The following is a 23,995-nucleotide window of genomic DNA, read 5'->3' as shown; positions in this document are numbered from 1 at the left end:
ATTTAGAAGAGATATGGTTAGGTTGCTGATCTTTGTTCTTATTACTAAAAGAAATGAGAAACAGGATCTATTCCAGGGAATGGGAGGGACAAAGGGACCATTTGGCCCCAGGCTGCTTACACACAAAGACCTTCAAAATTGATTTTTACTTATTATTTAAATGAGATCTATGCATATAGTCCATCATATAACTTTAAACTTGTGCCCATTTATTAGATACAGGTTGAGTATCCCACAACCGAAATGCTTGGGACCAGAAATGTTTTGGATTTCAGATTTTTTTTTTTCATTTTAAGTTACTTGCATATACATAATGAGATATCTTGAGAATGAGACCCAAGTCTAAAGACAAAATTTATGTTTCATATACACCTTATACACATAACCTAAAGGTAATTTTATACAAACCGTTTAATAGGTTTGTGCATAAAACAGAGTTTTGACTGCTTTTGACTGCAACCCGTCACATAAAGTCAGGTGTGGAATTATCCAATGGTGGTATCATGTCTGAAAGTTTTGGATTTTAGAGCATTTCTGATTTTATATTTTTGGGTTAGGGATGCTTAACCTGTATCTACACACTGCTATTATGCTTTTGTATGAATTAATTTTTTAGCACAGTCATCTATATTTTTCTCCTAAAACATGAACTGCTTTGCATTGAAGTTTTGGAATATTTTTAAGCATTTTTTTTAATTTAAGCATTTAAAGTACATTTTTTAAAATTTATGACAAGATTATTCTAAAATTTATAGGACTGAAAAGGAACTAGAGTAGCTATAATAGTTTTCAAAAAAAAACATAGTGGGAAGAATCACTGTACCCAATTTTAAGACTTATTATAAAGCTACAGCCATCAACATTGTTGGTATTGGCAGAGGGATAGACACATAGATCAATGGAACAGAATAGAGAATGCAGAAATAGACCCACACCTCTATGTATAACTGATGTTTGACAAAAATGTGAAAGCAATTCAGCAAAAAATAAGGATAGTCTTTTCAACAAATGGTAGAAGAGTAGTTATGTATTCATAGGTCAAAAAATAAACCTTGTCCTAAACCTTACACTATGTATGAAAATTACTTAAAATGGATCATAGACTTATAAGTAAAACTTTTAGAAGAAAACATTCAGGACCTAGGGCTTTGTGAAGAGTTTTTGGGTAAGATACTGAAAGCGCAATCCATGAAAGAAAAAAAATTAAATAAATTGGACATCATCAAATTAAAAAATGTTTGTTTTATGACTTCGGATGTGTTAAGACATGAAAAAAACAAGCTATAGGCTGGCAGAAAATGCTTGCAAATCACATATCTGACAAAAGACTCATATGTAGAATATATAAAGATTGTCAAACTCAACAGTAAATAAACCCAAACAGTCCAATTAGAAAATAAGCAAAATACATGAAGAGACTTCTCACCAAAGAGGACACACAGAGAGCAAATAAACACATTAAGAGATATGCAACATAATTAACCATTAAACAAATGCAAATTTAAACCACAATGAAATATCAGAATGGCTAAAATAAAAAATCATGACTCATAAATACCTGGTAAGGGGTAAATTAGTACACATTCGAAGTCAGTATAGCCAAGTCTTAGAATGCTAAACAAACACCATATGACCCAGAATTTGTATCCCGGGGTCTTTATCGCAGAGAAATGAAAACTTATTTTCACACAAAAACCTGTAGGTGAATACTCATAGAAGCTTTATTTGTAATAGCCAAAACTGGAAACAACCAAAATGTCCTACCTTAGATGAAGAGTTAAACTTTAGTATATCTATACTGTAGAATACCGCTCGGCAATAAAATGGAAGAATTATTGATGGATCTTAAGTATGTTATGCTGAGTGAAAAAATGCTAGTCTCAAAAGGCTTGCATTACTGTGTGATTTTATTCATTCTCAAAATGACCAAATTGTAGTGATAAAGAACAGATTAATGACCTCCACGGGTTAGGGTTGGTAGTTCAGAGGGCAGCATGAGGGATGGTCTAGTCTCTAACCTGATTGAAGTGATGGGTACATGAGCATACACATGAGATAAAATGACATGGAAATATACATGCATATGGCTCCAATGTCAATGTCCTGGTTTGGATATTGTACTCTAGTGGCATAAAACTGGAGGAAACTGGGTGAAAGATGCACAGGGACCTCCTGTACTATCTTTACAACTTCCTTGGAATCTATAATTATATCAAACAAAAGTTTGATTGATTTATTTTTTTAATAAGAATTGACTTGTTAAGTATAAGAACTGAAAATAGATTATTTTTGTAATTCCCTTTGGACCTTTTTATGTTTCTACTATGCTGGAATCCTCAAAAGCTGGAAGGGCCTGAGCCTCTCAGACCTCTTACCTCTGAGAGGTGAGAGAAGTAAAATTCACCAGCCAGGCTGGCTCTAACATCCTCATGGGAAGCCTAGTTGGAAACATCCCAGAAGAATACTGCCTCAGGTTTCCAAGGCCTGTGGGGTGAGATCTGCAAAGAGAGGGATGATAAGCAGGACTCCTCCTGACCCACACTTGGTCCCTCATATGACACACACACTCACATACACACACACACACGCGCGCGCACACACACACATGGTTTCTCAGAGTCAGCTGCTACCATGGCCTTCATTGTCATCTTTGCCACCTTTGTATCTGCGTCACTGATTGCTAATTCCTAATCTATGTAAACACCCTTGTGAGATCACTTTACGCATCTTGGCTGTCATCTCTGGGAAATGATTCCATAAGAGGCAAAACCAGTCCTGCAGATTTTCCAAACCCAGAAATATTTCTGTTGTATTTCCTGTTACATAACTGAGGTTTGTGGAGAGCCCATGAGACTGAAGGAAGGAGAGGAAACCCCTATGTTGTGTTTTAACTATTTTAACCCACGTTTCCCTTAATAACTCTTCTTCCTGTTTACTACCTTTTTTATTATTTTCTTTATTATTTCTATCCTGGATATAAGAGTAAAGTAGGACTAGAAAACTTTTTTAAGTCTTTGAACAAGGAACCTCCATGAACGTATATTTACACACAGCTATTTTGAGTTTCAAGATGCCTGAAAAGGGTGTAGCAGCATTCTTTAGATAGTACCTAATGCAAAATGCACCCTCAACTTGATCTCCCTTGTGGTTGAGAGTGTGCATATATCTATTTCTTTTCTTTTTTTTTTTTTTTCTTTTTGAGATGGAGTCTTGCTCTGTTGCCCAGGCTGGAGTGCAGCAGTGCGATCTCGGCTCACTACAGCCTCCACCTCCCAGGTTCAAGCGATCTTTCCCCTTCAGCCTCTCCAATAGCTGGAATTACAAGTGTGTTCCACCACACCTGGCTAATTTTTTGTGTATTTTTAGTAGAGGCGGGGTGTCACCATGTTGGCCAAGCTGGTCTCGAGCTCCTGACCTCAAGTGATCCTCAAACGCCATTTTATATAGAGTTTTATTTATAAGAAATAAGTGGGACAAGTAGGAGATTCTTAAGAATCGTTGCACTCTAGTTCAGATATTTTTTATATATTTATAATAATCATAGTTATATAAGCATAATTAACCCTTAATTTGTAAAGTTTATATAAAGGCTACATTAATTAGATACTTGATTCAATAACTAATAGATTACCAATCTATTTAAAATACCCATTTTCTTAAACACTTACTAGGTCTCAAGAACTGTTTTGAGATGCAGGAATTCATCTAATTTTCACTGCCGGGCGAGGTGTGAGAGCCCTAGCATCTGAAAGTGGTCGACTTGCGAGTTGGTAAGAAGAATTTAATAACAACAGAATAGGTTTGAAAAAGGAAAGTTTTAGTAGAAAGAAAGAACACTGCAGAAGAGTGCAGCAGGGCGCCTTAGCAAGATAGAACTGAGTGGGCCATGGTGGATTCTCCTTGGGAGCATTTATGGACCTTAAGACAGAAGCTTGAGGGTAATTTGGACCATATTAGCCAGACAGGTCATGATAAATGATGACATTTATAGTCATTTTGGTGCCTTTGTGTCAGCAAGGGTTGCACAATGAGTTTCAGCATAGCGTTCTGGAGATGTATAGAAATTTTAGTTACTTAGAAATTTTTTTGAAAGAGGCCTGGAACCAGATGCCTATTTAGATACTAGAGAATTTTAAATACTTCTAAATTCCCTCGATACGGAGTTTTGCCTCTGATGGCCTAGTTGATGGTCACCAGGTGTTCTTTGCTCCCTTCATGATACTTCTAAATTCCTCAGATACGGAGTTTTTTGTCTCCAGTACCTGTTCATGGTCATTAGCTGATTTTTGCTGTCCTCACTCGCAGTATCTTTCAAGTAGGTACTAGCAATCCCTCATTTTACAGATGATGAAACTGAGACACAGAGTTTGAGTAACTTTCTCAAGGTGACATTGCTGGTAAGAGGCAAAGCAAAAAATAGGACCATGAAGTCAATATCTTCATTAAAAAATTTATGAAAGATTAGAATAAATGAATATAGTGACCAAATAGTCAAAATGGTCTGGAATCACTCTCTCTTTGCAATGATTAAGATAATCCAAATGAGAATATTTCAGTTAACAAAATCCATCTCATTACAGGATACTGGCAACTGCATCAAATCTACATTTTGCTTGCAAATGTTCATCCAGTATGAAAGAGAGAATAAAAATATTAGGATAAAATAATTTTTTTAAGTGAGGAGATAGGCAGTCACACATTCTTTTGTGACACAAACCAGTTCTACAGTAGAATAATGAAGGCATTGTTCAGCAGTTTGAAGGTTTGATTTATAAAACTAGGTGTTAACTGATTGGCAATCAACCAATAGAAGGTAAATTGCTAAACTAGTCTGCATGTGCAGATGCTAGTAAGAAATTTTCAAAGGCACAGCTGCACTTTTATACAAAGTTCCCTGATCATCTACAGGTACTTCCCCACATGTGGTCATGACCTTTGATGACACCCATTCAGGATATCAGTCGCCAGTTTGTTTATAAAATGATTCAGATGTACTTAATTAGATTATTCAGAGTTTCTGTGGGAGTGCAGGAATGTCCTGTATTTCTTGTCCCTTTCTCCCATAACTTCTACCTCCCTACAAAGGCCTAAATGCTCTGCTTTTGATGGAGGCGTGCAACTTCAGATAAGCTCCGGTAAGAATATAGGTGTTTTTGATAGGCTAAAATGGAAAGCACAAATTTCTGAAACCCCAGGAAAAAGGTGCAAACTCTACATACACTGTGCAATCTGCATGAAATCCACCATAGGAGAATTGAGTAGTGATTAAGTCTGGTTTGAAAATTCTGCATCAAATTCACAGAGTTTTACTTTCAACCCATTTGGGTGAAAGAAATAATGTCCTTACAACATCTCTTCCACTTCTTTCCTTCTTTCTTACTCTTCTCCATTGGTTACTCTTTAATCATTCAGCATCTTCCTTTTTATTTATCTCACACTGTGCCTGGGACACAGAGTAAACTTTTGTACTTCCAGCCCCTTCATCCCACCCTTTTAATATAGTTCAACGAATATTTATAAATTTCCTAGACTGTGGTAGTTAGTGCTTTTCTGAGCACTGAAGATACATCATTGAACAATAGACACACACAAACACACACACATACACACACACACACACACACGCGCATGCATGCACCAAAAAAAATAAAAGATTAACTGAAAGCTTAAACTACATATTGGAAAAGAAACATTTTTGAGAAAAATTCAATACTGAAAGAAAAGATATTCTTCAAAAGTATAAAAAACAACCTAGATTATTGCAGGAGATCATACAAACTGGTTTGTTTTTTATTTAAATTCTACAGCCACATGGTTCATAACAGTATTTCAGTTTAGTTTTAACTTGCATTTTTTTTTAGTTTTGGGTAATATTAAGAATATTTTACTGTGTTTAGAAGTCTTTTATATATTTCCTTAGGATAAACTATCAGCTCATATTCTTTGCCCAATTTTCTAATGGGCAATTGTTTTTTTCTCATTGATTTATATGAGTTGAAAAATATTTTTTCCAGTTCGTTGATTATCTTCATTATGACATTGCTTAGCGGTTTTGCATTGCAGAAGTTATTTATTTTTATGCAATCACATTTGTCCAACTATTTGTTAATGGTTTAATGATGTAGGAAGAGGACCTTCCCCTCTAAGATTATAAAAGAATGTTCCATGGTTTCTTCTAGTTCTGTTCTAGTTTCATTTTTCTAAAAATAAATCTTTAGCTGGGCACAGTGGCTCATGCCTGTAATCCCAGGACTTTGGGAGGCTGAGGTGGGCGGATCACCTGACATCAGGAGTTCGAGACCAGCCTGACCAACATGGAGAAACCCTGTCTCTACTAAAAATACAAAATTAGCCAGGCATGGTGGCACATGCCTATAATCCCAGCTACTCTGGAGGCTGAGGCAGGAGAATCACTTGAACCTGGGAGGCGGAGGTTGCAGTGAGCCAAGATCACAGCATTGCACTCCAGCCTGGGCAACGAGAACGAAACTCTGTCTCACAAAATAAATAAATAAAATAAATCTTTAATTTATTTTGAATTTACCTTGGGGTGGAGTATAAGGTATAAATTTATTTTTTTCTTTCAGGTAACTCTTGAGTTGCCCCAACGTTGAAACCACCTTTGCAAAAATTCTAACTGAAGAAATTATGACAGTGAAAGAGATCAGAACTAACTGACTCCATCTGGCTTCTAACCTTTAAGCTGTCCTTGTTCATTCCTGGTTGCAGGCAGAACTAACCTTGGGAAGGAATTTAGTTTATGGTTTGGCTCTGAAACAAAATTGATAATGTCCCTTTTCCCAAAAAGACCCACTTCTTGCCTGGGGACCAGTCTGCCTTTGTAGGACTAACAGATTAACTACAGGATTAGATATTACATTTTAGGGGTCATGCAGCCTCTGGCTACAAGAGTCTGACCTTCCCCAGATTGCTCCTATGGATAGCATTACTATTATAAAACCTAAGATCAGTGCTTGAGATATTTTGCAGACCCTGCACTGGATGGATCAGCTGACACCACCCAGATTGGTAATCTGGCTTAACCACTTCTGCGATCCCCTCTATAATTCTATCTCCAACCTGACCAATCAGCACTTCCCACTTTCGAGCTCCTATTTTAATTTAAATTATCTTTAAGAACTCTGATCTTCGTGCTCTGGGAAACTGATTTGTGTAATAATAATACTCGTGTCTCCCATACAGCCAGCTCTGCCTGAATTACTCCTTCTCCATTGCAATCCCCCTGTCATGATAAATTGGCTCTGTCTAGGCAGCAGGCAAGGTGAATCCATTGGGCAGTTACAAATTTGGGGGCTCGACCAGGATTGCCTTTGTTGTTACCTGCTCTGTAGCCCACCTCTGGTGATGGATCTGGAGGCCAACCCAAGTGGCCACCTAGTTCTCTTGGACTAGGGGCTGACTCTGGCACTCTCTGCCAGTGGGGTGCTGCTGACCCAATGTGCATGGATTCAATTGCAGTGGAGAAGTAATGCTAGGGAGATATCTCATAACTGTAGCCTCATCACTGGGTGTCTGTAGCTGTAGCCTCAATGCAAGGTGTCTGATTTGGTGAGTATTCCAGGCAGCTACCAACAGCCCCTTCCTTCTCCTGATTTATTGGCCTCTCTGGAGGTGCTGCTGTCTCTTAGTAACCTCCCAGGGTGTCTGTCTGTAGCCCTATCACAAGGTATCTGCCTGTAGCTCCATTACAAGGTGTCTGTAGCTGTAGCCCCATTACAGAGTGTCTGTCTGTAGCCCCATTAGGGGTTGTCTAATTGGATGGAGACTAAGGAACTTGTTTGGAGGACTACTCTTGGTTTGAGACTGGGTCTGGAATCTGTGTCTTGAAGGCCTTCTGTTCATCTTACATTGTTTGCGTGTGTGTGTGTGTGTGTGTGTGTGTGTGTGTGTGTGTGTGTGTTTATATGTATGGAGGGCCCTGAAGGAATTGCTCACAGCAGTTTTCTGGGGGCAGGGGACAGAGTCTCACTCTGTTGCCCAGGCTGGAGTGCAGTGGTGCAATCTCAGCTCACTACAATCTCCACCTCCCAAGTTCAAGCAATTATCATGCCTCAGCCTCAGAGTAGCTGGGACTATAGGCGTGCGCCTCCATGCCCAGCCCTGAGTTATCATTTTGGGTAAATGAATGACTTATGGTGACACGGGACTCTATTTTGTGATATCCAGTGTTTTAAATCTTTGATATTTGACAAACCTTCCAAGATCAAATTATAAGTTTAAAAAAAAAAATTAGATATCCTGAAGTTCAAAAAGATATATTAGGCTTATTTAATGTATTAAAATCATGCAGGAAACATTGTCAAATATAAAATGGTGTTTAACTTTCTTTGAGTTATACTCATATAAATATGTTATTAGTATGTGTTATAAAATTGTATAAGATTTCTATAATTCTAATATGCCTCAGTATATGTTATCAGTAATAATTATAATTGTTATGTTGAATTTTTGTGTGCCACAGAGGTAACAAATTTCCTTGTCAATTTCTTTGACTGCGGCTTCCCTAAAACATTTCTGTCATCTGCAGACAATTGTTGTCTTGATTTGGTCCTCTTTAGGAGATGGTTTTATAATCAGCTATAAAACTTTGACAGGTGCTCTTGAATGCAAGTTTCTGATAACCTTGGAGATTATGACATTAAAATAAAGGAAAAAACTTTCGGGACTCTCATAAAGAGCTGAAATGTTCTTTCATATGAAGAAATCAGCTCTGTCTAGGTAGCAGGCAAGGCAAACCTGTTGGGTCATTACAACATTAGCTATTAAATAATCTGTTTTCTCATTGACCTGAGATGCTATTTTTATCATATGTGTTTGGGTCCATTTCTGAATTTTTTTAAAACTTATTCATTAAAATTTTTCTACTTTTCTTTTTTCTTTTCTTTCTTTCTTTTTTTTTTTTTTTTTTGAGACAAAGTCTCTCTCTGTCGCCCAGGCTGGAGTGCTGTGGCCTCCTGAGTAGCTGAGATTACAGGCGCGTGTCAACACACCCAGCTAATTTTTGTATTTTTAGTAGAGATGGGATTTCACTATGTTGGCCAGGCTGGTTTCAAACTCCTGGCCTCAAGTGATCCACCTGCCTTGGCCTCCCAAAGTGCTGGGATTACAGGCATAAGCCACTGTGCCTGGCCAGAACTTTATCCATTTCTTTGATAGTACCACATTATTTAATTATTTTAGCTTTATAAAAATTTTAATATTTAATATGACTAGCATCCCATTTATTAACCTACTTTTCAGAATTTATAGAATTAGGGAAAACTGACGTTGTGTGAGCCTTGCCATCCAAGAACATGCTGTACATTTTCTTTTATATAAGTTCTCTTCTCCTGATTCTTAAGAGCATTTAAAATATTTTTCATACATATGTTGCACATATCTTGCTATCTTGTTACATATTGTCTTTATTTTGTTGCAGCTATAAGTAGGATCCTTTCATGTATTAAATCTTCTTACTGGTTTCTTTTTTAATATATGAAGAATATTTATTTTAATCGAGTTCCCAGCCTAGATGTTGAATTATTTTTGTATGTATGATACTTTTTTGGTTGATTTTCCCAGTTTTTAAAGTTTGATCTAGTTCGATCATCTGGAATCCCTTTTGAATTTCTGTACCTCTGATTTCTTTCTCTGATCTAGTTATGTTAGAGCTTTCAGAACAATAACTAAAGTGGTCATAGCAGATGTATTTGTCTGGTTCCTGACTTTGTTGGAAATGTTTCTACTAATGTTTTTAGGCATAATGCTGAATTTTAGGTTAAGATCAATAATTTTTATATGTTAAGGAAATATCTATGTATTTCTCTTTCACTATGAATCAAGAATAAATGTTGAATTTTAACAGATGTCCTTTTAACATACACAGATATGACAGACTTTTTCCTTAAATCTTTTAATATAAAATTAAATTTTAATCTTTTAAGTTATATTAATGAAGTTTCAAAAATTGAATTTATAGAACTAATCTTCACATTTGTAGAATAATCCCCATTTGATCAACATAAACCTTCTATTAACAAGCTGCTGGATTGTGTTTGCTAATGTTTTATTTAGTTTTTTTTGGTATCACTAAACAAGTGAATTTATCTATAATTTATTGGAGCATATTTTTTGTCAGATTTTGCCCTGTATCCTTTTATCAAACAGAAGCTTTTCACCAGTGATTTTGTTAAATAAGACACATATGAAAAGATATATGACAATTTTTACTCCTTCCAAATTTGGGGGGAAATATATATGACAATTTTTACTCCTTCCAAATTTGGGGGTAAATATAGTTAAGATAATTAGATTACAACAAGTCAATTACATTACTTCTTGAATATAGCTCTCTTTAATTTTCCAGGCACAGAGCATTTATATTTTGTTGGGCATTTGTGTTATTATTTTTCAGTTATGGAGAAAACTTGTATAGATGCACTTCCTCTTACTATGAATTCTTCAGAAAAGCAAGAGACTGTATGTATTTTTGGAACTGGTGATTTTGGAAGATCACTGGGATTGAAAATGCTCCAGTGTGGTTATTCTGTTGTTTTTGGAAGTCGAAACCCCCAGAAGACCACCCTACTGCCCAGTGGTGCAGAAGTCTTGAGCTATTCAGAAGCAGCCAAGAAGTCTGGCATCATAATCATAGCAATCCACAGAGAGCATTATGATTTTCTCACAGAATTAACTGAGGTTCTCAATGGAAAAATATTGGTAGACATCAGCAACAACCTCAAAATCAATCAATATCCAGAATCTAATGCAGAGTACCTTGCTCATTTGGTGCCAGGAGCCCACGTGGTAAAAGCATTTAACACCATCTCAGCCTGGGCTCTCCAGTCAGGAGCACTGGATGCAAGTCGGCAGGTAAGAATAAACAAATTTACACTCAATCTTTAAAACATGAATCATTAAATGTGCACTTGCCTCAAAGATTCCAAAATATAATTCCAAGATGAAATGCCCACTAAATATTACATTTTGCTAATATGTGCTGTGAATAATTTTCTTGAGCTTGACCAAATAAGGTGGTCAACTGTTATATCTCCCACTGTCTGCACCCTCAGATTTTAGTTTGATGGAACCCCATGGTGTCAGCCTCTGGAGGCTTCTTGTCAGTACTAGAAACTAATACTTGGTGAATATCCTTTTCTGCTTCCATTACCTTGTATGAAACTGGTTCCATTTATACACTGAGATTAGAAGCATTCATAAGTGATGCGGCACCACAAACACAGAAGATCAAACTACTCACAGTGTGGAGAACCATGTCTTTTATAAGTGTGATGTGCCTAAAACCATCATCAACTAAAAACCCTGGTACTTACCTATCTAAGACACCACATACAAGTTTAAAACATCTTGTTACATATGTTAATTCTACATCCTTATTTTAAAATCGGTTCACTGTTTTACGTCATCATTTGGCATGGTGCTGTTGTAGCCTTTCAAAATAATTATTAAATAAGGAAAAGGAGTAAATACAGAATTAATTAACTGTTTTTAAACTAGGTGTTTGTGTGTGGAAATGACAGCAAAGCCAAGCAAAGAGTGATGGATATTGTTCGTAATCTTGGACTTACTCCAATGGATCAAGGATCACTCATGGCAGCCAAAGAAATTGAAAAGTACCCCCTGCAGCTATTTCCAATGTGGAGGTTCCCCTTCTATTTGTCTGCTGTGCTGTGTGTCTTCTTGTTTTTCTATTGTGTTATAAGAGACGTAATCTACCCTTATGTTTATGAAAAGAAAGATAATACATTTCGTATGGCTATTTCCATTCCAAATCGTATCTTTCCAATAACAGCACTTACACTGCTTGCTTTGGTTTACCTCCCTGGTGTTATTGCTGCCATTCTACAACTGTACCGAGGCACAAAATACCGTCGATTCCCAGACTGGCTTGACCACTGGATGCTTTGCCGAAAGCAGCTTGGCTTGGTAGCTCTGGGATTTGCCTTCCTTCATGTCCTCTACACACTTGTGATTCCTATTCGATATTATGTACGATGGAGATTGGGAAACTTAACCGTTACCCAGGTAAATCTCTTCTTATATATTTTCTTCTGCTCCTGAAATCAGAGACTATTGCTACATCATATTCCATTTCATAATTATAGAAAGTCACTCTTCTAAGCATCTTCTTTTTTAAAGTAACTAGAATTAGAAATGTCATGTCAGTTTTTTAAAATGAATCCAGTTTAGATCTCATACAACTATTAAGAATAAAAGTTTGCCGGGGGCGGTGGCTCACTCCCATAATCCCAGCACTTTGGGATTCCGAGGCAGGTGAATCATGTGGTCAAGAGATCAAGACCATCCTGGCCAACATGGTGAAACCCCATCTCTACTAAAAATACAAAAATTAGCTGGGCATGGTGGCGGGTACCTCTAATCCCAGCTACCCAGGAGGCTGAGGCAGGAGAATCGCTTGAACCCAGGAGGCAGAGGTTGCAGTGAGCCGAGATCGTGCCACTGCACTCCAGCCTGGGTGACAGAGCAAGACTCCATCTCAAAAAGAAAAAAAAAAAAAGAAAGAAAAAAAATGATACTTTCCAGGTTCGCTTGGGTCCAGATCTGTATTCCCAGGGCTCATAGAGATATTGGCAAACTGACAGATTTCATGGCTCAAGAAACCTAAAGACACCTACTTGAATTCCTTTGGTTGGCAGTCAAATGTTAACTAGTGTGTTTTCAAGCTTCTATTCTTAGGCATGTTACTTCCTTTTGGAAGTCAAAACCAACCATCTTTTAAGTAAGAGGGCTAACCAAATATGTGCCACACTAAAGCAAACAAATTCACAAAAGAGCGCTTATAATTCCCTTAATGTTTGACTTGGGGGAAGTTGACCTCAATAACTAGAAAACCAAATAATTCTGAGCAAATATCAAATATTGTCTTATGCATAATCAAAAGATTCAGTGAGAATCAGCTGAAGGAGTTTTAAGACATTCTCAGAGGAAGTGCTATAAGTCAGTTCTAGTTTAGAAATAGCTAGTTTTGATAGATCTTACTTCAGTCTCAAAAATTATTAGTTAGTCATTAATGATGCTTCTATGGGTTTCTCTACATTATTTTCCCAACAAATACATGTAAGTTTCCTGGGTAAGAGTCACACTACAAGTGTCTGATTCCTCTCAACTTGTGGTGCAAGACTGATGTATTATATTATGATGTATTTATTATCATGTATAATAAACATGAAAGAACCCACTTTGAGAGTGTGAGTAATCCACATATAAAGCAGAAAAACAGAATTCTGATGTAATTGTTTGAGAACATCAAGTTTTGCTTGGGGAACAAAATGCAGATGGTAATGAAGGTTTAAGTGAGTGTTTACTGTCTTTTAGAATTTACAGGGAAAATCGAAACTTTCTACACAACTCCTAGAATCAAGTCCAAACAGAACCAATTACTTTTTTTGCCAAAAAATATAATTTCTAAGTGTATTTTTCACTAAAGTTATTTTAAAATAATTTTTAAGAAATGCCATACAATTTGCTTTGAGCAAATAATTTGTGCCCACTGTCAAAGTGTGGGCAGTTTGTAAAATGTAGTTTGTAAAAATGTAGTTTTGTAATTGCTTATAATTTTTCTTAGGCAATACTCAAGAAGGAGAATCCATTTAGCACCTCCTCAGCCTGGCTCAGTGATTCATATGTGGCTTTGGGAATACTTGGGTTTTTTCTGTTTGTACTCTTGGGAATCACTTCTTTGCCATCTGTTAGCAATGCAGTCAACTGGAGAGAGTTCCGATTTGTCCAGGTAAGAACTTCAAGTTCATTCCTAACTTTTCATTTTGCTCCATCACTTCCCTAGCAATCATATTTAAAAATTCAAATTAGAAAATGTTGAACCCAGGTACAAAAGGCAGAATCCATAATGATTTGATTTCTTAATACTCGCCAAGATTCCTGACTGCCTCCATATCTACAGCTAAGACTATAGGGTGAAAAATACTAAGAACTATTACAATTTATGTGTGGAGATGTACTAGGTACAAGGCAAAAAGAAACCCCAAGACAAAATTTCACCATCTAAAAAATTAACCTTACAACATGGACATACAGATATGGAAAACCAGATGTTGAGATAAAGTTTAAAATCTTCACAGCAAGATTTGATAGATGTCATCACACCGGAAGACTTAATGCTCTTCTGTAAGAGGGAAAATTGTTTTCTTCCACATGTCAAGCACCAACCAACCCCTCTTTAAAGGCAGTTAGTAACTACACATTCTTGTAGACCAGTGGTCCTCAAAATATGGCACCAGGACCAGCAGCATCTGCATCACCTGGAAACTTGTTAGATACACAAAGCCCCAGGCCATGCCCAGGCCTACTGAATCAGAAACTCTGAACCTGTGGCCCAGAAATTTAATGAGCCTTCAAGATGATTCTGATGCATGCTTATTATGAGTATAATAGAAAAGAGCATTAGTCTTTAAAATTAGGTTAGAATTTTATAGAACTATTGGAATCTTAAGTCTTGCAATTTCTCCCAGGGACCAAATGCAGTCAACATGTTCTCATTAGCAGTTTTGTTCAAGGTATTAAGGCAGAAATAAACAATAAGCTTTAAAATGTAGGCTGAAACAAGATTGGCTATTGCTCTTTATTGTGATAGAAATGAGCTAGGATCTGGTTTTAGTCAGTAACATATACTAAGATGGTGCTTCTTGAGGTCATACTGTGTCATATTCATCTCTGACCTCTAGAAAAGATGATAAATAAAAGAGTTTCACCTTTGGGAACCAAGACAAGCTACATTATTTATTCTAACTTGGAAGAGTTTACTCCTGGGAAACTTTTCCATCCAGCTAGGTTAAGGTGAAGCTACTATGTCATTTGTAAGAAATAATCTTGTTTTAAATGAAGTATTTACCATCCTGAAGAAGGGTTAGTGCTTTTTTTCAGTACTTGGCAAAGTGTCCTAAACATTATAGGTCTCAAATGTTTGTGGTTGTTGACAAATATCTGTCACTGGCTTAGAGTGTTTCACTTTAAGATGTAAATAATGTTAACTTACATATTTTTGTTTCTTGTTTATAGTCCAAACTGGGTTATTTGACCCTGATCTTGTGTACAGCCCACACCCTGGTGTACGGTGGGAAGAGATTCCTCAGCCCTTCAAATCTCAGATGGTATCTTCCTGCAGCCTACGTGTTAGGGCTTATCATTCCTTGCACTGTGCTGGTGATCAAGTTTGTCCTAATCATGCCATGTGTAGACAACACCCTTACAAGGATCCGCCAGGGCTGGGAAAGGAACTCAAAACACTAGAAAAAGCATTGAATGGAAAATCAATATTTAAAACAAAGTTCAATTTAGCTGGATTTCTGAACTATGGTTTTGAATGTTTAAAGAAGAATGATGGGTACAGTTAGGAAAGTTTTTTTCTTACACCGTGACTGAGGGAAACATTGCTTGTCTTTGAGAAATTGACTGACATACTGGAAGAGAACACCATTTTATCTCAGGTTAGTGAAGAATCAGTGCAGGTCCCTGACTCTTATTTTCCCAGAGGCCATGGAGCTGAGATTGAGACTAGCCTTGTGGTTTCACACTAAAGAGTTTCCTTGTTATGGGCAACATGCATGACCTAATGTCTTGCAAAATCCAATAGAAGTATTGCAGCTTCCTTCTCTGGCTCAAGGGCTGAGTTAAGTGAAAGGAAAAACAGCACAATGGTGACCACTGATAAAGGCTTTATTAGGTATATCTGAGGAAGTGGGTCACATGAAATGTAAAAAGGGAATGAGGTTTTTGTTGTTTTTTGGAAGTAAAGGCAAACATAAATATTACCATGATGAATTCTAGTGAAATGACCCCTTGACTTTGCTTTTCTTAATACAGATATTTACTGAGAGGAACTATTTTTATAACACAAGAAAAATTTACAATTGATTAAAAGTATCCATGTCTTGGATACATACGTATCTATAGAGCTGGCATGTAATTCTTCCTCTATAAAGAATAGGTATAGGAAAGACTGAATAAAAATGGAGGGATATCCCCTTGGATTTCACTTGCATTGTGCAATAAGCAAAGAAGGGTTGATAAAAGTTCTTGATCAAAAAGTTCAAAGAAACCAGAATTTTAGACAGCAAGCTAAATAAATATTGTAAAATTGCACTATATTAGGTTAAGTATTATTTAGGTATTATAATATGCTTTGTAAATTTTATATTCCAAATATTGCTCAATATTTTTCATCTATTAAATTAATTTCTAGTGTAAATAAGTAGCTTCTATATCTGTCTTAGTCTATTATAATTGTAAGGAGTAAAATTAAATGAATAGTCTGCAGGTATAAATTTGAACAATGCATAGATGATCGAAAATTACGGAAAATCATAGGGCAGAGAGGTGTGAAGATTCATCATTATGTGAAATTTGGATCTTTCTCAAATCCTTGCTGAAATTTAGGATGGTTCTCACTGTTTTTCTGTGCTGATAGTACCCTTTCCAAGGTGACCTTCAGGGGGATTAACCTTCCTAGCTCAAGCAATGAGCTAAAAGGAGCCTTATGCATGATCTTCCCACATATCAAAATAACTAAAAGGCACTGAGTTTGGCATTTTTCTGCCTGCTCTGCTAAGACCTTTTTTTTTTTTTACTTTCATTATAACATATTATACATGACATTATACAAAAATGATTAAAATATATTAAAACAACATCAACAATCCAGGATATTTTTCTATAAAACTTTTTAAAAATAATTGTATCTATATATTCAATTTTACATCCTTTTTCAAAGGCTTTGTTTTTCTAAAGGCTTTGTTTTCCTTTTTATTATTTTTTTCTTTTTTATTTTTTTGAGACAGTCTTGCTCTGTCGCTCAGGCTGGAGTGCAGTGGCACGATCTCAGCTCACTGCAACCTCCTCCTCCCAGGTTCAAGTGATTCTTGTTCATCAGCCTCCCGAGTAGCTGGGACTACAGGCATGTGCCACTATGCCCAGCTAATTTTTGTACTTTTAGTAGAGACAGGGTTTCACCACATTGGTCAGGCTGGTCTTGAAATGCTGGCGTCAAGTGATCTGCCTGCCTCCGCCTCACAAAGCACTGGGATTACAGGCATGAATCTGGCCTTACGTAATATATTTTCTTAATGGCTGCATAATATCACATCAAATAGGCATTTTTCAAACCTCTTTCCTTATTAAACATGTAGACTATATCCATTTTTTACTAAAATAAATAACATTTCAGATAATATCTTTGCACTGATAATGTTGCCAAGCCATTTCTAAAGTGACCTTATCAATTTAATTACCATTGGATGAGGGTGTTGCTTTCATCGCACCATTGTAGATTGTCTTTTTTATTTCAATTTGCGTTTATTTATAACTGGTTGCAAAGGTACACAGAACACACGCTCCTTCAACTTATCTTTGATAAACCCAAGCAAGGATACAAAAAGTTGGACGACATTGAGTAGAGTCATGGTATACGGTGCTGACCCTACAGTATCAGTGGAAAAGATAAGGAAAATGTCACTACTCACCTATGTTATGCAAAACAGTTAGGTGTGCTGGGGCTGGATACTGCTCTTTTACTTGAGCATTGGTTGATTAAAGTTTAGGTACCATCCAGGCTGGTCTAGAGAAGTCTTTGGAGTTAACCATGCTCTTTTTGTTAAAGAAGAGAGTAATGTGTTTATCCTGGCTCATAGTCCGTCACCGAAAATAGAAAATGCCATCCATAGGTAAAATGCTGACCTATAGAAAAAAATGAACTCTACTTTTATAGCCTAGTAAAAATGCTCTACCTGAGTAGTTAAAAGCAATTCATGAAGCCTGAAGCTAAAGAGCACTCTGATGGTTTTGGCATAATAGCTGCATTTCCAGACCTGACCTTTGGCCCCAACCACAAGTGCTCCAAGCCCCACCAGCTGACCAAAGAAAGCCCAAGTTCTCCTTCTGTCCTTCCCACAACCTCCCTGCTCCCAAAACTATGAAATTAATTTGACCATATTAACACAGCTGACTCCTCCAGTTTACTTAAGGTAGAAAGAATGAGTTTACAACAGATGAAAATAAGTGCTTTGGGCGAACTGTATTCCTTTTAACAGATCCAAACTATTTTACATTTAAAAAAAAAGTTAAACTAAACTTCTTTACTGCTGATATGTTTCCTGTATTCTAGAAAAATTTTTACACTTTCACATTATTTTTGTACACTTTCCCCATGTTAAGGGATGATGGCTTTTATAAATGTGTATTCATTAAATGTTACTTTAAAAATATTTCCTAGTTTTGTTTAATTCTGGTTTTAACTCATCAGCATTCCAAATAAAGTTACTAAAAGGTTTTGAATCACAGTAGTTCCAGCATCTGGGACTAAAAATACTTCCCTTCAGGGATAAGCAAAAGAGAAGGCAGTGCATGGGTTTGAAAGTGCATTAACAGATCTGCAGCTTCTTGCAATGTAAGCTTGAGCTCAGCGGGGTGGCACAGTCCAGTATGCTGTGTGTGCTTCAGTATTACCCTCAGAGAGGGGAGAGCATCAGATGGCTAAATGGGGAGGACTGCACTATCCCACGCTGGATTTTTGTGAGAATTTGGAGGTAAAAAAGGCTTTCCTTCTCCATGCAGACGCCACAGGGATAAGGCTAATGGCTTGACAAGCAGACTTCAGGTTGGATTCAGACTGCGTGACTGGGCATTAAATGCCTTGCACAACTGGACTGCTGCAGCTCTGATGGGTGTTATCCTGCTTTCAAAAATAGTATTAAAACTTACAAATAAAGAGAGGACTGACAACCTGGAGGAAGCTGGAAGCAAATGGAAAGCCCCTACTGAAAAAGCCATTTCAATTAGAAATTCATTCAGGAGCTCTTCATTCATCTATTGTTCAGGGATCACAAAAGAGCCATGATAATGATAAATGCATATTATGCATTTCACCTCTGAGAGCATAAAAGCTTCTGGAACTCTGTTCCAAAATTAAGGTGTAATGGCAGTCATGGTACTGCACACAGTAGTTGCAATTTTCATTCTCCATCATCACAACCATCATCTTCACTACCACTTCTCCAACACACACACACACACACACACACACACACACACACCCCATGAGAGCCCACAGATAGCCTTACAGGGTCCTACTTCAATTTTCTATAATGAATTAGGTTTACATTCTAGAAAAATCCTTCACTCTTCTAAAGGTTTGTTCAGTAGAATTTGGGAAAAGAGTATAAGTTACTCTTCAATGTATCAGAAGCATTTGGACCAGGTGACTCCATCTTCAATAGAGGCTGAGTAAAATAAGCCTGAGACTGGCCGGGCGCAGTGACTCACACCTGTAATCCCAGCACTTTGGGAGGCCAAGTCAGGTGGATCACCTGAGGTCAGGAGTTTGAGACCAGCCTGGCCAACATGGTGAAACCCCATCTCTACTAAAAATATAAAAAATTAGCCAGCATGGTGGCGCATGCCTGTAATCCCAGCTACTCTGGAGGCTGAGGCAGGAGAAGTGCTTGGACCCAGGAAGCAGAGGTTACAATGAGCCAAGATCGCGCCATTGCACTCCAGCCTGGGTGACAAGAGTGAAACTCCGTCTCAAAATAAATAAATAAATAAATAAGACTGAGACCTACTGGGCTGCATTCCCAGGACAGCAGGTGTTCTTAGTCACAGGATGAGATAGGAGTAAGCACAAGGTACAGGTCACAAAGACCTTGCTGATAAAACAGGATGCAATAAAGAAGCCGTCCAAAACCTACCAAAACCAAGATGGCAATGAAAGTGATCTTTGGCTGTCTCAGCTGTTCATTATATGCTAATTATAATATATTAGCAGCCTAAAATACACTCCCACTAGCACCATGACAGTTTACAAATTCCATGGCCACATCCAGAAGTTACCCTATATGTTCTAAAAGCAGGAGGAGCCCTCAGTTCTGGGAATCATCTGCCCCTTTCCTGAACATCTCATGAATAATCCATCCCTTGTTTAGCATATAATCAAGAAATAACTATAACTATACTCAGCCAGGCAGCCCATGCCACTGCTCTGCCTATGAAATAGCCCTTTTATTCCTTTACAGTCTTAATAAACTTGCTTTCATTTTATGGATTCACCTCAAATTCTTTCTTGTGCAAGATCCAAGAACTCTCTCTTGGGGTCTGTATTGGACCCCCTTTCTGGTAACATATGCATTACCTCTCCTCAAGCTCGAGGCAAAGTCCTAAAGTTTCGGATAAGACCCATATGAGGGAGGTGAAGGATGAAGGGATTGAGGGCAAAGGGACTGAGAAAAGGGGAGTGTGGAAGAGCAAGACAGTGCTCTTGCCATTACCCAGCAAAAGCCAAAAGGATCCAGTACTACTTGCTTTCTGCTGTAAGGGAATTTTGGAAGGCTTTTAATGATACTTACAGCAGAGTGCCATGCGTAAAGCCTATGCTAACAATTTCACATGCATTATCTTATTTAATCCTCATAACAGTTCTCTAAGGTTCTCTTCTTATCCTTATTTATCAGAAGAGGAAACTGAGCTTTGAAATCTCAGTACTTTGACTAAGTTCACACAACTAATGAGAGGCAGAGCTGGGATCTAGGCAGTCTGACTCCAGGCCCATCTCCTTTTAACACAACGATATAATAGGGGACACCCATGCTGTCCTCTTAAATGTCCCTTTGAATCCACAAAATAGACTAAGTGAACGAAACCACTGCAACTCTTCTTAAAAACATTTTTAAAGACAAGAAGCTTATTCGCATTTTAAATATTCCTGATTGCCCAGTCCTCAATACTCCAGGTTTATCTATGCTGATTTCAATTCGTCCTCTAAGGTTGTAGAAACACAGGATCTGTGGTTCCCGCATTAAGTTCAATTCCATTGCAATTGCCATTTTAATCTTCCCACTCTAGTCTGGCCACAAGGTTTCCTAAACTCTAAAGGGAGCTTTGTTCTGGTGGAGGGAGGTAAAATCCCCAGACCTGAGGACTCGAAGGGGCAGTCAAGGAGAGGATAGCTCTTCTCCAGAGCTTAAAGGCAAATATTTTCTTTTTCCCTGGTTTCTCACCTTATTGCTTTGTGTACTGAGTGAACTTATTTGTTTTTGAGATCCAGTAACCCATGCAAGAAATTTCATAACACTTCTCATTTAGTACTTTAATACTAGTTGAAGAATCTAGGGTTACACACACACACACACACACACACCAGGCTTAGTTCCATTACCTATAGCTGTAAAAATGAGATTTTTTTCTCAGTTTTGTGAAAATGAAAGGCTGCTGGACTGGAACTCACAGTATTGTATATCAAAAAGTATCAGATTGTGATAAAATAGAAACCCAGAATTAAACTTGGCCTTATGATTTTTAGAAAGTCAACAGATTTTGAAGGAGCCCACCCAGTGTATTCATTTCATTTTTACTAATCCTTTCTTTCATGCTAAGATAGAGATGAAAAAGAATGACAGACTTCCTGTTCTCATTTCATTACAGCAAAATAAATAAGTTTTAGTGTTCCATAGCTCTGTAGGATGACTATAGTTAAAAATAACATATAATTTCAAATAGCCAGGAGGACATTGACTGTTCCCAACACAAAGAAATGATAAATGTTTGCAATGATGGATATGCTAATTACACTGATCTGATCACTATACATTGTACATACATAAACATGACTATGTACCTCATGGATATGTACAACTGTTATTTGTCAGTTTTAGAAAATAAAAAAGCAGAAGAGATCTGCTACCAAATGCAGGAATTTTCTATAGAGTCTGTTATAGCTAGCCTTCTACAGGCTTAACTCTTCTCATGATGGAGTATTGACCATCACCAACAGGAAATCTTTTGTTTTAGGCACTCCAGGAAATTATCAGGGAGTTCTCTCTGTAGATAACCAAAGTTTCCCTAGTTGTACTTCTACCCATTTTTCTTAGTGTGATCATTTAAAGCAGTGCCTCACCAACTATCAGAGATGGGGGCCAGTAATTTTTGTTTCATTTTTTTCCAGTTCATTACAAATCAATGCATATGTCTGTAAAACACAAAATCACACCCTTAAATGTGATGGCAACATCAAATTGCCATAAAAGTTTCTAAACTTTTCACCCCAATTTCTGAATTTATCACAGACTGGTAAAAAACAGCTCACAAGCCAGCACCACGGGCAGACCACACTTTGCACAGTGCTCAAACGTAGGCCTAACAACCTGGCTTGGCTTGGCACTTCTAAAAACCGATCCTGAGGCAAGGCTTCTTGTAAAAGAGTTTATACTGGAAGTTAAAAATCATCAAATTATTAGATACTGGGAATGGAGTAGTAAAGTAGACAGAGCAGGGAAGGAATAAAGTATGAATTTTCAAGCTGGTTACCCATCTGGGCAACTGGAGCTCAGTTTTGCTGGGAAAGTCTGGAAGACAGTGTCAGATATAACTAAGAGTTATTCCCATCAAGGGGAAAGGAAACTGTGCTTTTCATCCACCAAATCCTTGCTTAACATTGGAATACAGATGCTTCCAAGACATTAACTTTGTGGCACTTCTGGCTTTTCCTACACACTTATTGTGTATGCCACCATGTCTAGGGGGAAAAAGGCCCACAGGCAAAGAGGTACCAGCATTCATACCACCAGCTTTCAGCTTGTAGAGGTGGCCGCCAAGAGGAACTCGTAGTTGGCAGTGCCAACTACAACTACTACACCAACCAGCTGGAAACTATACAAAGAGTATGAACAAAGTTCACAGGAGAAACAAGGCTCTGCAACATATGAAAATATATTCTACTTCATTCATAATGAGACGCATGAAAATTGTAACTGTATCAATACCATTTCTCACCTAGTAGATGGGCAAAAATCCAAATGTTTGAGCACACATTCTGTGGGTGAGGCTGTGGAAACGTAGGTTCACATACATTGCTCTTGGATATGCAGATTAGGACCGCTCCTGTGGAGAGCAGTTAGGGAATATCTTTCAAAATTAAAAAATGCAGAGTTAAGTTTTGATCCAGGAGTCTCACTCCTGAGAATTTATGCTATAGATATGCCTACAAGCATTTGAGATGAAAAAGAAGCATTGCTATTTGTTTTTCTTGTTTTTCATGAATAACATTGTAAAAGTAGAATATGGGCAGTGATTCAAGCATTCATCTTTGGGACTGGTTAAGGAAACTATGATGCTTTCACAGAATGAAATTCTATGCAGCTGTTTAAAACAAACCAAGACACCTTCTTTCACATATATGGAAAGATGTCCAAAATATACTGTTCAGTTTTTAAAAAGGTACAAAATAACATATATAGTATGATTCCTTTTGCATATGTGTATTTGCTTTTAATTGCCTAAAGAAACTCTCAGAAGGATTCAAAAGATCCATACCAAACAAGATGGGAGAACAGAGGAGTAGTGACAGGAGTAGAAGCACTGTAGACCTTTTCATATCATTTTGGTTTTTAAATTACATGAGTAGGTTACCTAATTATTAAAATAAATTTAATTTAAAAGGTAATGGGGGATAGGAAGAAATTTGTTAAAAGATACAAAATTACAGCTAGATAGGAAGATTAAGTTGTAGTGTTCTATAGCTCTGTAGGATGACTACAGTTAACAATAATATATATTCTAAATAGCTAGAAGGAGGATATTGAATGTTCTCAACAGAAAGAAATGATAAATGCTTAAGATGATGGATATACTAATTACCCTAATCTGATCACTGTATATTTTGTGTATTGCAATGTCACTATGTACCCCATAAATATGTATAATTATCGTGTGTCAATTAAAAATTTTTAATTAAAAAATTATAAACAAAAAATTTTTTAAAGTAATTGATTGCATATCCCTGCTAAATCTTATCTTACGCTAAACACCAGCACATTCACTGTTTTCTCTTGTATAAAAATTTCTAAATCTTTCATCTTTCTGGTGCCTCTTGTTCAGATCTACAAACATTTCAATGTTCCTTTTAAAACACAGTTCCCTAAACCAAAAACATGATATTTTTCCCTTCTTTCAC

At 37.1% G+C, this 23,995-nt stretch overlaps 1 protein-coding gene and 1 long non-coding RNA gene across 4 annotated transcripts in view; one reads left to right on the top strand and one right to left on the bottom strand.

The window, feature by feature from the left end:
- LOC124901692 (uncharacterized) overlaps positions 1–3,199 on the bottom strand; it is a 41,815-nt gene extending 38,616 nt beyond the window's left edge. The window contains exon 1 of the long non-coding RNA XR_007060420.1: positions 2,376–3,199. This is a non-coding gene — a long non-coding RNA (uncharacterized LOC124901692). The remainder of the gene's footprint in view (positions 1–2,375) is intronic.
- Positions 1–23,794, top strand: part of STEAP4 (STEAP4 metalloreductase) — a 36,003-nt gene extending 12,209 nt beyond the window's left edge. The window contains exons 2-6 of one of the 3 annotated variants that reach the window (NM_001205315.2): positions 3,672–3,770; positions 10,415–10,872; positions 11,518–12,045; positions 13,607–13,771; positions 15,058–23,794. In NM_001205315.2, coding sequence (NP_001192244.1) covers positions 10,417–10,872; positions 11,518–12,045; positions 13,607–13,771; positions 15,058–15,288 — 1,380 coding nt within the window. In that variant the 5' untranslated portion in view covers positions 3,672–3,770; positions 10,415–10,416 and the 3' untranslated portion in view covers positions 15,289–23,794. The remainder of the gene's footprint in view (positions 1–3,671; positions 3,771–10,414; positions 10,873–11,517; positions 12,046–13,606; positions 13,772–15,057) is intronic. The other 2 variants (NM_024636.4, NM_001205316.2) reach the window with 2 other exon arrangements.

Source organism: Homo sapiens, chromosome 7, assembly GCF_000001405.40.
Source record: "Homo sapiens chromosome 7, GRCh38.p14 Primary Assembly".
Lineage (NCBI taxonomy): Eukaryota > Metazoa > Chordata > Mammalia > Primates > Hominidae > Homo > Homo sapiens.
The sequence above is the reverse complement of the archived record's forward strand: the minus strand, read 5'-3'. Positions and strand labels throughout refer to the sequence as shown.